Source organism: Homo sapiens, chromosome 7, assembly GCF_000001405.40.
Source record: "Homo sapiens chromosome 7, GRCh38.p14 Primary Assembly".
NCBI classification, from domain to species: Eukaryota; Metazoa; Chordata; class Mammalia; order Primates; family Hominidae; genus Homo; species Homo sapiens.
Genome location: NC_000007.14, coordinates 84323005 through 84339884, shown reverse-complemented (window position 1 = coordinate 84339884; position 16880 = coordinate 84323005). Strand labels below are relative to the sequence as shown.

Here is a 16880-nt window from a genome sequence, read left to right as displayed (position 1 = left end):
TTTTTAGGATTACTCATCATTAATATGTTCCTTAAAGATGCTATATGTATGAATGATCATGTTAAAGCTTTGAAAACTGTTTTTGGAATTGAGAAAATGAAACACCGTTTAGCTCTACTTCACAGAATTCTTCTTACTGTACTTATCAAGGAAAAAACGAAATTTAAGCAGAATCTCAGAATGTTTTGCCCTTATAGTTAATTGTATAAGTGGAACCCAAATGCCCCAATCAAAATAACCACACTTATATTCTTCAACTCCATACTTCATGTGCTCAGAACCACAATGATGGGGGAAAGTTTTGCAAACATTCTTTAAGTCACCATACCCTTTCCACAGTTCTTGCCAAACTTCTACACAGTAGGAACTATGAAAATGAGTGCCAAACCCTCACGTTCCTGATATAGCTTCCAACAGCTGCAAACCCTTAAGCTTCAAGTGCAGCTGCCTTGAACAGAAATATTGAAAGGACCCACAAAGGCAGATACACAGATTACATATGTTCAATAACTTTCTAGCAATAATAAGAATATGTGGTCATATTAAGGCCATTAGACAGGAGGGAAATTGCACAAGCAGTCTCTAATTGACCCTGCAAAGAGAGTCTGATCTCCCTTATTGTGCCTCTATTAGTCCCCAATTCATCTACTTTTGTTAGGATTATACATCTTTTCAACACACAAACCCACACCAAATAGAGGGCAATTACATTGATTCAGTTAGTGCCCATGCTCTGATTTGTAATTTTCCAAGGGCACACCATTTGAACAGTTAATTCCTGAAAAGCCTAAAGCAATTCCTGGCACTAAATTATTACTACAGATGCAATATATGGGATATATATATACCAAATTGGAGAATGGAACCTACCACAGACATCTGAGCTATAACATATAAAAACAAAGAGCAAATTCAAGTAAAACCTCACTTCTGATGAAAATAACCTAAAACATGTTTTTGTTCCAATTTTTCAAAACTAGATTTGGCCATGCAGTTCTCTTGTTCCCATCGGTGATTAAAACAAGTTCACTTAATACTTAAAACTTTGTCCCTCTTCTTTTAAGGAGTGTTAGAAAACTACATTGGCAAATTGGTCTTTTATTCTTCAAGCTTCTAAATTTTTTCAGTTGAATGAACAATGTTAAGAAGGTCCATGTGAAGATAGAACTGGAATTTAAGGATTTGTGTTCTTGTATGGTTGCGGCTTTTCTAAATCCACATCTCTGTCATTTTACTACCATTATATTCATTTATGCCTAATCTCTGTGCCAAACTTCCTATTTCTTCAAATATTTATTCTTAGCTGCAAAGGAATAATCCTGGAGTATTATAAGTAAAGTCTGAGGGTAACTTTAACATTTCTTTAAGCTCTTGGGCATCATAAATTTCAATCTATAAAACATTAAGAGTATTACCATTTTAATAATCAACTCTTATTGTCTATCCTAATGCCAGAGTGGGATGATGCAAAAATTTGGGAGGAATGTAATTCTAAACAATTAATTAATTTATGGTTTAACTTCCTCCTCAACCTACACTTTGGTTATAGTTAAAATGATATGGAAGCACACAGATTTGCATTACTCTAGTTATCTTAATGGGTTTCTTTTTCTCTTCTGTATTACATAAGAACATAATTTGTATTCATTTCATATGTACTGACCCATTATTGGGATATATGGAACATTTTCCACTATTTTATTTATATATATATATATGCATGTATATACACATATTTTATTATATATATACACATATACTCAGTATATGCACATACTTATACAGGTATATGTGTATAGAGATATGTGTGTATATATATGTATAAGTGTGTAGAACATTATGATAAAAATATTTATGTGTAGGCTTTTGTTAAACTGTGGATAACATAAAGCTTTTGTCAGACCTTTGATAAGACTTTCTGTCCCTGACCAGTGGGGTTTATCATTCAACTTGTATTTGTAATGTTCTCCTCCTAGATATAGCACTGCTCTCTGAAATTTATTGTTGAGAAACATTTCTTGCAAGGCAATTATGTATGCTTTTGTTCTTTCTTTGAGAATGCTTTGGGGCTACATGTAGATCAAGACGAACATGTGCCAACTCTCTTTCCCACACCAAGTGGAGTGAAAAGTATGACCTCAAACCCCAGCTGCACAAAGCATTTAAGGATCTAGGGAGATTCTTTATCAAGGAGTTTCCAATAATCAAGAATGCAAGCTTGCTTCATTGAGATCTCAACACAATGATCCCTCCCTCCAAAGCCTTTTTATGTTAAATTGAATTTGAATCCATTCCTTGGTGAACTTTAATCTTGAGCTAATTATGACTCAATGCTCCTCTGGCTCAGTAGTCTTCTGCGGCTTGGGATATGTTTTGAAACACTGCCAGATGAATGCAATGATGGATTGTTAGCCAAATAGCACACTGGAAGATGAGAACTACCTGTCTTCTTTGAGTATGACTTTATTTTCTCATAAGATGCCTGCTTTAAGGGATGGAAAATATAGAAGTATATGTAGACATGGATCTCTGTGCATTTTTTGTGCATTTATGTATATATTACACATGCATCAACAAAAATGTGCTAGGCACAGTAAAACATAGTTTCAACATTTTTCTTGCCAGGTCTTTGGGAATTTATTGGCATATGGCATAAAAATAACAATGAATTATTGTTAAAAATAAATAAAATTTATTAATGCTGTGTGCCAGACACTCCTAATTTCTTCATGTTAATCCTCATATCAATGCTATGAATTGACACTATTTAATTCTGTTTTGCAGGTGAGTTAACTGAGTCTTAAGGAGTTTAAGTTACTTGTCCAAAGTCATCTGGTAAGCTAGGATTCAAACCCAGGCAATCTGCATAATATTCCTTCCTAACCACAACACTGATCTAGTTCTGCAGCAAAAATAACTTCAAGTCTAGGGAAGGTGTTGGCATGATATAGATAACCATGTTATTCTTAGAAAAATTATATTTAAGTTAGACTTCCTGAAGGAAATTGAGAAATAGTACATAATTTTTTCATACTTCAACCTAGACAGACTATTTTACAAGATTACAAGACATGCTACTTTACTTAGTAAAGTGTACGTGTATGCATGAAGATATATATGTAATTGGAATATGTATCAATCTCTCATAGCCCTACTTGAGGATGTTTCTTTCTGATGAATTCTTCTGTTGGAACCTAGGTTTGTGTGCCTGTACTGATAACAAGGCATTCCTGGCATTCTGGTTCCTCCTCCTTCAGCACATTTCTCCCACAGGCTCATAGAACACTGTCCTACTGTATGTAGATAAAATGGAGGTTGTGAAATGCAGTTCATGTTTTCATTCTTGCTTTGACTGAACATCTGCTCACCCAAGACCAGCTTTTTTTAGTTCCATCTACTCATTACTATGGTTACCATAGTATATACTCTATTTTAGGCCTGTATCTATTGGCGTGTGGCCATTCTCTCTGGGGGGAAAAAAGAAGAAGTTTTCCAGAGCCAAACTGGCCTTCTATTCAGTAAATATGGTAATTTTTGCCTATGCTAAGTTTCCGACCCTCCCCTCTCCTTTTATGTTTGGTGTTCTTCTGTTTAGAAAAGGATCTTTCCATCCAACATTTTTTGTGTGGATTTAACCACACATTTTCTACTTAATTACCTCCTCTGTTTTGAAAAGTTTCCTCTTAATTGCACTCATAGAAGGTTTGTTTCTATAGTCATTGTAATATTTAAATGTGACAGTTGCCTGCTTATATTCTTCTAAATATGGTGTCTAGGAAGAAGGTGCTCTGATATTTTTTAAAGAAGATCATGCTGTTACTGGATTTTAGCTACACTCTAGACCTGTCTTGTCCAATATTATAAATACCAAGTAGCCACATGTGGCATCTGAATTCTTAAACTGGGCTAATCTGAGTTGAAATGGACAGATTTTGAAGACACAATAAGAAAAAAACACGTAAAATAGCTCAATAAATTTTAAATTATTACACACTGAAATAATAATTTAATATATTAAGTAAAATAAAATCTACTCTTAAAGTTCCTTTCACCTTTTAATTTATTTATTTTAATGTGAATGCTAGGAAATTTAAAATTAAATATGTAGCCCACATTATATTTCAAATAGGCAGGGATTCCTTAGACCACTTCTGAAATTTGAGATAATGTCAGTAAACAAAATTAGTTAGTATATTCACTCTCTAAGGTCATACGTTCATTCTTATTATTAATTATAATTTATTTGCTTAGATGCCTGTTCCATAGTTCATAAATGTCTATCATTTAAAAATAACATGATCAAATTCCCAAAGAAAATGTGAATTGCATAATCTTCGCTTTTCAGCGAAAACTAAACATATTGTGTGTGTATGTAATAGATATTAAGATAGATCTCTCTCTTGCTCCCACTTTCTCTCTCACACACCCATCACAATTTCTTAGTTGGACTAATAAATTATTATCTTCCACAACTATAACCTATATTTGCTAATGTAAAAATATATTTTTTATCAGGGAATAACCCTTCATACTCAAAATATAAATACAAAATATCTGAAGAATAAAGGTGCAAAATTTGTAAAACTCATGTTTTTTGTTATAAAAGTAGTGTAGTCCATTATTATACCAAGACCAATTGAAATTATGTACAATTATATCTATTTTATAAGCCTATTTGCAACCAACATTCATAATAAATTAATAGTAGAGAAAAATACAAAAATCAATAGGAAATTCTAGTAATTTAGAGAGTTTATCCTCCCTATCTTACAGAATAGATTCAAAGTATTTCAAAAAATTGAAAATTTTAAGGTTGAATTTTTATCAGTAAGGAAATATTAAAGCATTTATAGTAGAAAATATATACAGCATGTTAGAAATTGTACCACATTTTAGAAAGATTTTCACAAAAAATGTCAAGATAAAATCATTATTGTTTTTTTGAGGGCATGAGTCTAAGTAGAAAATGAGGGGGTAGTCTAAGTAGAAAATGAGGCGTGGGACTTAGGGGGAAATTGAGGAGGCAGGGCCAGGGGAAGAGCCAGGGAGCAGGACCAGGAGGGGAGGGTGGGAGTGGTGGGAGGGCAGGGGTTGTGAGTGAGAGGAAAACAAGAGAGAAGATGGAGGGATGAAAAGTGGATCAAGACAGGAGGGAAGAAGCAGGGGGGCAAGTGGAAAGGGAGGTAGTAAAAGGGAGGATTGAGGTTGGGGAAAAGAACATGGGGGTGACCAGGAGGCAGCAGGTTGGGGGAGAAATAGGGAAGTAAGACAGAGGTGGTGAGAAGCGAGGGCCAGGACCAAGGAAGAGCAAAACAGGAAGCAAGGAGGAAAATTGAGGGAACAGGTGGAGGAAGAGTGCAGGAAATAAGGGGAAGGATGGAGGGCTAAAATTATTTTATTACAAGCCATTAGTTTAATAAAATATTTTTCTTATTTATGTAATTATACATTGTAAGTAGCCTAGTTTTCTGGAAACTTTTCTAATCCATAAAATCTCATCTCAGGTTACATGAAATTAGATTGAAATTCATGAGGTAAATTATAGATTATGAACATAGAGATTAACTTTAGAAGTTAATTATAAAAATATTTTCATTACTCTGAAATCTTCATTACATAAAATTTATTAATATATTTATGAAAACAAAATTTGTAGAATAGCAAATATATAAATGGAAAATAAACTTTTAATCCAAAATATTTACTCTTAAAAAGATCAATTCCGAGATTTGGAATTATATAGACAGAACTTAAACTAGCAGTGATCAAAGTTTAGTTTGTGATGACTTATTGCATTTTAGATGATTAACTTTTAAGAAAAAAACTATTGTTTTTAGTATTTAGTCAATTGTAAGAAAATGAAACATGGATATATACTATTACTTTTCAGTACATTTGGTGGACTTTAAGTATATGACAAAATCTGTTAAATATAGGATATAGCACAATCCAGAAAGTGAAAACTACATCTCTTCTTTTCAGTGCATTCAGATTAAATTTCTGGCAATGGCAAATTCAAAAGTAATTTCCCTTTAAAATTTAAAAATAACTTCCCTGATGCCCCAAGGCTTAGAATTCATTTAAATTATAACAGATACTTAGTCACTTTGTATGTATAGCATATGTCTTGGATAAAAGTCACAAGCTGAAAACAAAAGAGAAATGTGTCAGTGCTCATAGGCATTACACCTTTGAAAATGTCCTTCCTTAAAATATTTCAAAATTAGCACATTTACCAGATTATGTTCTTACTTTCTTGTCTTAGAACTGTATTTTTCTGCATTTCAATTTTTCTTTGGAAAGTAGAGTATATCCTGGCAAGCTAGAACAGTTTGAAATTTTGAAATAATAATTAAGTACTCCTTCGTATCATTCTATTAACTAAAGTCACTCTCCTCACCTCATCGTGTTGTTTCTTTGCTTGTTTTAGTTTCTTCTATGTGTGCTAAGCATTATGGTAAAGAAGTAAATGATGAGGCTAAAGACTCTAGAGTCAGTGTTGTAGAAAATCTTCGATATCATCATGGTCAAGTTAGAGTGTTACTGAGTTGGAATACTAGCCAGTGGAGGATACTTTCTTCCTTGTGTTGCATTTTGTACAATCTAGCAGAGGTGAAAACACCAACTTAGGGAGCATCAATGGAGATCTCAAAGTTTTTTGTGATGAAAATCTTGATAGGTGCTTCAACTGAGGATTTTGGAAGACAGCAAGTTTTAAAAGCTATTTCTAATTTGACACAAAAAGTACAAAGTTACAATTGTCATTTTTCACATCTTATATAAGACATGCTCCATCATGACCAGCAATTACACAAAAATAGTATCAATGGAGGTAACTAAATAACTAATGAATTGACTCCCTAAATCAAGTCCTGATATATTATTAAAGATACCAGTCTTAGCTGGAATCATGACTTTTTATAGAATGAGATTGCATTATTTCTCTTTCTTATCCTAAATGATAAAATGATTCATAACTCTGAAATGTTAAGTCATTACCTTGATAATATGTATGTAGGGAGTCAAGACATGTAAATAATAACATATTTCAGTATAGTAAACTTAATAAAGGTACTCAATGTTTTAATATAGTCAAGAACTGTAAATATTTACTCTGGGGTAAGAACTAAAAAATAAATTATTTTTTCTTCTATGCTTTTTAAATAAAGCACAGATTTATACATACGTGTGTGTGTGTGTGTGTGTGTGTATACACACACATATATTTCAATTTATCAGTGCCTTGGATTGACGTCACAGCCACATGTTAAAGCTATGTTCTTTTAACTACCACACTAAATTGCCACTGAAAGAAAACAAGGATTAGCTTCTTCAGATTAGGATGATTTTAAATTGTCTTTTCTCAATTTTATCCTGTAAGTGTAGACTTATAGTAAAGAATGAACAGATGTTAACTTGTCTTGCCATTTAGATTTCTGCAGACTACTGTCCAAGACTTCGTAGAATTAAGAACATCTCTTTTCATTGGTGGTGTATCCAGTGATGGGCACTGTGAAAAATAAAAAGAGGTAGATTACATATACATGAAAAATAATTCATAATAATTTACAATCACATTAATAACATTTTAATATTAAGCAAATATAATGTTATTTTTTTCTGGAAATGAGTCGTTGGGACTTAGAATTTTGGGTTTATTTGTAATATTCTGATAGGAACATCTGCTATGAGCCACTTGATATTAACATATCACATGATTCAATGACCTATGTAGTCTCCAGATCCTTTGTTGGAACTCTCTCTGAAGGGTATATATGGCTGAATAATGGTAAAAAATAAGTAACTTAACTAAAGAGGAAGACAACTGAATCCTGCTTATGAGAATTTTGTGAATAAGCTGAAAGAAATGACCAGGAGTCAGGACTTTTACTTTTTTAGATTGATGTGCTCATTCATGCAAATTATATTTTTCCACTGTGCCAGAACATTTCATTAATAAAAGGGAAATACCTCATTGCCAGTGGGGTTGAACAGGCTCTCATCCACATTTCTATTTTACTCCAGCAGATTGGACTTTCCTGCCTTCCATTTCCCCCTTTTCTGCCACAAAAGGAGCATGCACGCACGCATGCACGCACACAGACTTCATTCTCTCTTATTACTTGCCAGCTGTAATGCTGAAATGCCAAGGTCTAAAATGTGTTATTTTTTTTTTCCCAAACAGCAGCAGCAGCCACATCTGGATCTGTGAAACTTTAGTCTTGGCTGGTTTCCTTCTTTTTCTTTATGGCTTTCCAGGCACCTGTGGACGTCCTGTATATACACAATGACATCAAACCATAGTTGGAAATCTGATTCTCTTGGTATAATGAACAATGATTAGTTAGAAGCATATAAAACCACAAACTGCTAGTAATAAAGAACAATTTCAATGCATTGTAGATAAGGGGCAATGAAAACTTAACTTAAAAATTAAGTGAATTTGAAACAGTTAAAGTAACTAGAATCACCTGAATCTTTCATTTTCAAACTTTATTATAAAATTATGGGTTGGGATTAAAAGCAGAAACTCAACAGACTTTGTTTAAGGTAGAAGGCTCTTGTCATAAAATATTAAGCCTTGATTTCAAGCTAAAAAATCTTTGGAAGAAAGCCAAAAATTCTTCCAAATACCCCTGGCAAATTCCTTAGTCATCTTAGATACTTCTGTTTTTTTGATACCCTAAAGTTCTTGACGTATTTTTGTGATCCAGATTGGATGGCTTCAAAGTAGGATTTGGAGATTACTCAGAAAAGCAATCAATAGTTCAAAAAAGAAAACCATATCTGTCACAGGTATTGACTATTTGAAACTTCATTCAGTACATTTCTACATAGGTCATGACATTCAAATATAAAACCTAGGATACTGACTTTGATCTATAAAACCTAACAGTGTATGATTCTTTCCTTTCTTTCCATGGCATGGAATCATTGGTTTATGTCTTGAATGCCTTGGCTAGCCACCCTCAGATATGCTTATCAAACAGATAGATAAAGAACATAATCCATTTCTATACTTTTCATCCTCTTTGATTTAATAAAATCCAAACCATTCTTATCTCAGAATATGAGGGAAGGACCATTGCAGTCATTAGCTTATGCTTCATGGAGGAGTTGAATTATTTTTTAAAAAAAGTGCTTGTAGTATTCTAAAATACCTAGTCATGTAAGCATGCAAAAAAATAAATAAAAAACAACTACCATATCCCATGTACCACAGGGGGAAAAAAAGTGATAGAAAGTCAATTGTAGATGACTATTTTGGGTGGTAAAGGAAAAATAAACTAGGTAATACCCTTCCAGTGATAAGAGATGAAAATGTACATGTGCCTTCCTACTTTATGTCCTCACCATCTCTGCCACTGATATCTTCCGAATGTTTACTATGATATTCATCTAAACACATGAACTTCATTGGAAACATTTAAGTCAGTAGATCTTATTAAGTAAGTGCATATGATAATTTGTTACTTTTTAAAATTGTTTCAAAGTTTGATATTAGAATTCCTAATTGTTCAGGAGGTACATTTAAAAAGTCATTTTTCTCACCCATACTTTATTTTTGAGATAACTTCACTTTTGAAATGTACTATGAAAATACTTAATAATGAGATCTATTTTTTAAAGTTAACTTTTAAGTTCAGGGGTACATGTGCAGGTTTGTTATATAGGTTAAAATGAGCAACGAGACATATATCCAGGATATAATATATTTATTTCTGCTAAGTATAAGCCAGTGATGCCTTAAAATAAATTGCACATAACTGGCCTTGCTTTTATTTTACTTATGTTATTGGTTATGAGATTCTGTGTTTTCTAGATTATGCTTCATCTTTGCTTATTAGGTAAAAGTGTGGGGAATCTGATATGGATTATTATGATTGGCCCAAAATCACTATTATTGAATTAATCAAATAGTGAAACACATCAATTAAACCAGCAGTTACAAGCCCTAAGTTGGCCAGAAAAATAATACCATAAAATTTTGCAGTGTGGGACTGTAATTTATTTCAAGGCCAGAGAGACCCCATGTGAAAGCACAAAGAGAAGTGCAAGTATGTGATATAAAATAACACAGCTTTTGAAATTATACACTGTGTTCCCTCTTATTTTGCACTAAATGTTTATTTTAATTTTCAATTAGAAAATATAATGTAGCACTGTATTTTATAAGGGTATGGTAAACAAAACTACGGCCTCCATCTTATTTTAGAATCTCATTATTGTTCACCTGGATATTATAATAGTCACATGATCTAATTGTTCAGTCTTTCTTCTAGGTCTCTGGGAGAGTGTCCTTCCTAAAATTTTGATATGTGCATGTTTCTTCTTTGATTACAATCTTCCTCAAATCTTTTGCCATGACCACACATGTCCAGCCTTTTGGCTCCCGTGGGCCACATTGGGAGAAGTATTGTCTTGGACCACATATAAAATATATTAACACTAACAATAGCTGATGAGCTGAAAAACATAAAATAAAATAAATAAACCGGCATAATGTGGTGATATCCACCACCACATTTAAGCAAAAAGGTTCTCACATTCAAAGGGTTGGACACGGCTGCATGACATCTCAAAACTCATCTTTTACCTACTTGTTTCATTAAAATGTCTGGTTTGAAACAGAAAATTACGTGTAATGTCTTGAACACTCAATGTTTTACTGCCTTCATGCCTTTATACATAATGTTACCTCTGCCAAAATGTCATTGATTTCTCTTACCCCCTTCACAACATCCCCGTTTGCTTGATGCAATCGGGTTTTTTTTTCTTAAAAGTTCCAGGTTTTAATGTAGATGATGGGTTGATGGGTGCAGCAAACCACCATGGCACATGTATACCTATGTTTAACAAACCTGCACGTTCTGCACATGTCTCCCAGAACTTAAAGTATAACAATAATAAATAAATAAATGAATAAAAAGTTCCAGGTTGAAAATGACCTCTGTTAGGAAATTATATGTGAGAGGAAGTTGAAATTATTTCCCAGAGACTTTGTATAACCCTGTGTGTGATTCATTTAAATTATTGCATTTCTTTTCATCATGTATTTGTATGTCTTTCCCTTCTATGGGAATTTGAACTCCTTTTCTGCTGAGACTGCATTTCATTCACAACTGTGTTTCTGGTAGTATCTTGTAGAGGCCCCAAATCCTTAGAAAATATTTGTTGAATGAACAAAGGAAGGAAATGAGTCAAAATGAATAAAAGTCAATACAATAAAAGACATTTTCATTCTGTATAAATTTACCATAGGTTGTCGAAATAGATCAGTTATAATCGACTGATTCAATGTACATAAGAGTCTATCTCATCAAAAGAGAAGCTTTCAAATATTTTATGCATTACAAGCAACATTGCGTTTTTCAAAGATATTTTTCTCATATAAGAAGCTTCTTATTCTAAAAGTTACTGTCTATTTTGTCTCTCTTCCCCTCTATCTCCTGCTCTTTCATTTTCTTTCTCTTTGACTGTTTCTTTCTTTCAAGAACTGAACGTTTATGTTATGTCAGAACTTTCTGTAGGACATGGTGTTAAAGAGGTCATTCATGTTTACGTATGTTTATCAAATGGTATTGTGGCAATGCAAATGAGTATTATGAAATGTAAAGATGAGAACACTAAAATGGTTTTTCCCAAATAGGTCTGCCATAAATAATAACTGACTTCTCCAATTTCCAGTCCTCATTCATTTTGGGTTTTCTGAGTAATATTCCTAAAGATTACACTGGCTTTTAAAAAATAATTTACAAGCAAACTTATTTGTACAAAAGAAATTATATGCACTCCAACAAAATTGATTATTGAAAGGTAAATGGAAGCACTTATAAAGATTTAATTCATAAACTCGAAATCGTAATCTAACCTTTATCCCAATAAGTTAGAACTACTATAAATTATCTTTCTGTTTGATTAATTGTGTGGAGAATATATGCAAATATTACATTATATTGTTGCCATTAATCCTAGTTTACATTTTAACTCTGGCTAAAAAATCTAGCGAAAAGGAAAACAGCCTTATGATTATCCATTTATCAAAGAGACCATGTTCCATAGCTGCTTTTCTACATTGAAGCTTGCATCATTTGCATGCTTTTATGCTTGAAATCTCTGATGAAATGCCACATTACTTGCATTAGCTAGCAGTGGTGAAAGTTATAAAATTGGAGCTAGTTTAAAATAATGCTACTTTGAAAAATTAAACATTCTGTAAAAAAAGATGGTTAAAATATACAATTCATAATTTTATAGATTTTTTTAAAGATCTCATATACAATATCCTGAGAGATCTTATAAAAATCAAGAATAATTTTTCATGCTCTCATGCATTCTCTGTTAGAAATTACACATGCTCTTTGATAGTACCTTGCTATATGTGAAAAAATCCTGGTATAATTCTTGGCATATATCAATGGTTCATTATTTCCCACTACCTTTGCCTACCTGCTTTTCTTTCTCCCACTACCTCCCTTTCTCTCTTTCTCCTTTCCTTCCTAGCATTTTTTTCACCCTTTCCCCCATCATGACTACTTTATTTTACATGAAGTGCCCCCTGATTATTCCAATGAAAACTGACTACCTGCTTTCTGACTGTCATTGAACATACCTAATGGCCTAGAATTAAGTTATTTTATGTAAATTATTTCAAAAGATCTTTTGGAATTCTCTCATAGGCAAATGTTCACCTCTCTGAAAATATTGTGAATCTATTAAGAGTAGCAATAAACTCATCAACAGATTTTGCATATTTCAGATAACCTATTATTTTCTTCTATAAATTTAAGTTCCTTATAGATGCTGGATATTAGACTTTTGTTAGGTGCCTAGTTTGCAAGTATTTTGTAGGTTGTCTGTTTATTCTGTTAGTTTCTTTTGCTATGCAGAAGCTCTTAAGTTTAATTAGATCCCATTTTCAATTCTTGCTTTTGTTGTGATTGCTTTTGGTTTCTTTGCCATGAAATCTTTGCTCATGCCTATGTTCATGATGATATTGCCTAGGTTGTCTTCCAGGATTTTTATAGTCTTGCATTTTACATTTAAGTCTTTAATCAATCTCGAGTTAATTTTTGTATATGATGTAAGGAAGAGATCCAGCTTCAGTCTACTGCATATGGCTAGTCAGCTATCCCAGCACCATTATTGAATAGGGAGTCTTTTCCCTATTGTTTGTTTTTGTCAGACAAGCTATCATTTTAAAAACAGGTCTATGATATTGTGCCTGTAACAGCCTTCTAGACTATTTTCAACACAAGGATAAATTTTTATGCCACATAAATTTTCACAAAACTGAATAAAAATAATCATCAAATGAATATACATAAAATATTTATTAAATACATATCACTTATAAATTCAATTTTTTACAAGGAAATTTCACAAAATAAAATTAATCATTCTGTATCTTTTCTGTAACTCCACAGTGAAACTGTGATTTACCCATAGGTTTTAGTTATATATCCAAAAACCCAAATCAGTCAAAAGCAAATAATTCAAGAAAATATTTATTGTTTATGCTTCATAGAACACTTAACTTTGGTTTATATTTGTCTCTTTATACTATAGAATTAATCAATTTAGAATTTGATCAGAAATACTTATTTAGTGATTATCACTATGAATGCCCTTGCATAAGCAACCAACATGCATCTTTCCTCTAAACTATTGTAAAAGCTCTCTAAATTATCTCCATGCTTGCACAGGCAGCTCTATAATCCATACTCCACCATGTTGCCAGAGTGGTTCTTTTGAAGTACGCCAGATCACAGAGGGATATTATTTAGCCAGAAAGAAGAAGAGCATCTTGCCAATTTTTATAACATGGATGAACCTGAAAGACATTATGATAAGTGAAATAAGCCTGACAGAGAAAGACAAATACTGTATGATCTCAGTTACATGTGGAATCTGAAAAGGTAAACTTACAGAAGCTGAGAGCAGAACAGTGGATACTAGTGTTGGGGGTGGGGAAATGGGGAGATGTTGGCCAGAGGATACAAATGTTCTCTTACAAGATGAACAAGTTCTGGTGATTTAAATTACAGCACGAGTGGTGATGGATGTGTTAATTTGTGATAATCATTAAACAATGTATATGTATATTGAATAACATCATTGTATTCCTTGAATATATTCAATCTTTACTGGCTAATTAAATATTTTATTATCTAAAATAAAATAAAATGGGGCAAATCATATCACTCCTCTGCTCAAAACCTTACAAATACAAGGTTCCTCCTGGCCTGCCTATTCCTTGATGGTCTACAAGACTCTTGGTGGTTATACTCCCTCATATATCGCTGATCTCCTTTGCCACCTGTCACCTAGCTTGGACCACTGCAGCCACATGGCCTTCCTTGCTACTCCTAGAAGAATACTTCCCCCTGTATACTTTGAGTCTCTTCTGTCTCAGATTCAGATATCCTGTGGCAAATCTTCTGTCTTTATTCAGATCTTTGTTCAAATGTGACCTTTCCAGAGAAGTTCTCCCTGACCTTCCGATCTAAAACAGCACCACTCATCACTCTCTTTTTTGCCTCACTTCGGTAGTATTTTTTAAAATCATAATTTGATTGTTTGATTGATTAGTTGATTGTCTATTTCTTTTCACTTGAATGTTAGTTTTATAGGAGCAGGAACTTCATGTATCCATTGCCTTAACTTCAGAGTTCAGAACTCTGCTCCATACTTGACCCAACTAAATAATTGTTTTAAAATGATAGATAGATAGATAGATAGATAGATAGATAGATAGATAGATAGAGATATATACATTCTCCATTGTGACAGGTCTGTAGGTCTATTATTTAAAAAGACAAACATAAGTTATGGTATATATAGCATTTATTCTGTTAGATATACCACTTGTTTTCATGCTTCATATTTTATAAAGTATCTTTTTGTCTTTCTTTTTGAACGTAAGGTCTTTGACGGATGGAGTGGATTGCATCTACCGAATTATAGTGTTTTCTACAATGCCACACATGCCTTATACATTTTATCAATCAATAAGTATTTGTTGAATGTTGAAAGAATGAAGTTATTTTTATGATTAATGATTATACTGTAGTCTGGTCTTTTTTTTCCATTTTCACCTATATATTGTAGTCTATTCAGCTAAGCATATTTTGGTATGTATTTTTCACAAGACTAGAAAATGATTTTTAAGACCATGTGCTTCATAATAAATTGAAGTCTCTTTGAAAAATAAATTCAGAAATTATTTTGAATTTTCTTGTTAAAGTTAAAAAAATTACATATTTTGTTATCTAGAGTTCTAGTTTAATAAAATATGATTGCCAATGTATATATAATTACCATTTTGCTATCTATCAGCCAAAACAGCATTTGTTTTGTTTCAGCCATATGTTCTTTTCTTTTTGCTTTATGACAATCTTGTTTTTGTTCATTCACTGGAGCTGGCAGATAACTATGAGATGGAATTCCAAAGCCAATTCAGCATTAACTTTATATCCATGACCAGTGTCAAATCTGGACTCTATCTAATAGAAATGTTGAGTAATCTCATGTTAATCTTCTCTGTGTAACAGTTCTGACTTGCACTAATGAACAAGATTTGAATGGAAGCTCCAATAGGTTACTCTGGTCCTATAGAGTTTGCTTTTGAAGGAAACCATCCTATGGATTTATCCCACCCACCTAAGTCAGGCTGCTGTAGCTCAACAATATTTGAAAGGTCTTCACACACACTGTAATTTTTTAAAATCCTTGACTTTGTGCCAAAAATTTAAATTGGCTCTGCCATCACACTGATAAACACTAGTTCTTCAGATAATTTTATTTATTTACACGTTTTGACATTGTGTTGATTTACCATTTATTTTAACAGCTAGGAAAGGTAATACATAATTACAAACTTTCAAACACTTTATTGTAAACCACATTTAAAAACTAAAATATGCTACTCTCTAGAAGAGAATAAACAGATTTATATATGATTTTAAAGTCACAAAGAAAGATGTTTGATGTAAATATTTCTATTGTGCAGATGTACTACAGCAAAGAAAAATTCATGGGATATTACTGTCTGTTATAATATCAGAAAATTAAATTCTAAATTAAAAAATAAAATTCTTAGCCTGTGTTGCATAAACCTTGAATGATGGTAATCAACCATGATGCATGACTAAGGCGCACATCTGTCCATATGATTTATGACAGAATATAATCAGAGAATAAGCTTTCCATTTTTAAAGAACTATAGTTCATTGTAAGAAGGGGTCATATTTAGCATGGAAGCATTTTTTTTTAATTTTATACTATTTTTTCAGAGTTTTCCCTATGTTTCCACTCAAAATTTACTCGTTTTCACTCTTTGTACATTGCAAGTACCCCCTTGTGAACTTCCACTCAGGAAATGACATGATTTCTCTTCATCAGAGAAGTGTTTTCTTTATAAGAAAGGAATTGTACTTACGTTCTGCTTTAGCTGAAGGCGGTCTGTCTGTCATATGTGGCACACTTGATTATGTAGTGATTAGTGACAAAAAACATGTAGATTAAGAGCTTTGCTAACATGAATATTAGCAAACTTTAGCAACCCTACCACAGTGAATTGCATCTTTTGAAGAGGAAATCAAGTACTCTTGAGTATTGATACTTTTGATTGACATAAATATTACACTATAGAACAAAACGCACAATTAGTTTAATTAAAGTCAATCTATTGATAGCTAATCTTCAGAGAACGTTAAAGAAAGCATTGTTGTTAATACTTATGGAGCATTTATTATGCATTTAATCATAGTATTTGATCATGTTCATTTAAATAGTGATTTAATCTTCATTATACACTGACAAAGGGTATACTATTATTTTCCTCACTTTACAGGTTAAAAAATGAAGGCCACAGTTGT

General features: G+C 32.5%; 1 protein-coding gene across 2 annotated transcripts in view, besides 1 other annotated feature; it reads left to right on the top strand.

Moving 5' to 3' along the window:
• Nucleotides 1-16880, top strand: part of SEMA3A (semaphorin 3A) — a 536949-nt gene that overhangs the window by 152841 nt on the left and 367228 nt on the right. The gene's annotated exons all lie outside the window — the stretch shown is intronic.
• Nucleotides 3390-3439: an enhancer, noted in NCBI's record as "active region_26219". NCBI's record gives its function as "activates an Ori minimal core promoter by ATAC-STARR-seq in GM12878 lymphoblastoid cells {active_cell/tissue: GM12878}" and the evidence as "EXISTENCE:reporter gene assay evidence [ECO:0000049][PMID:35858748]".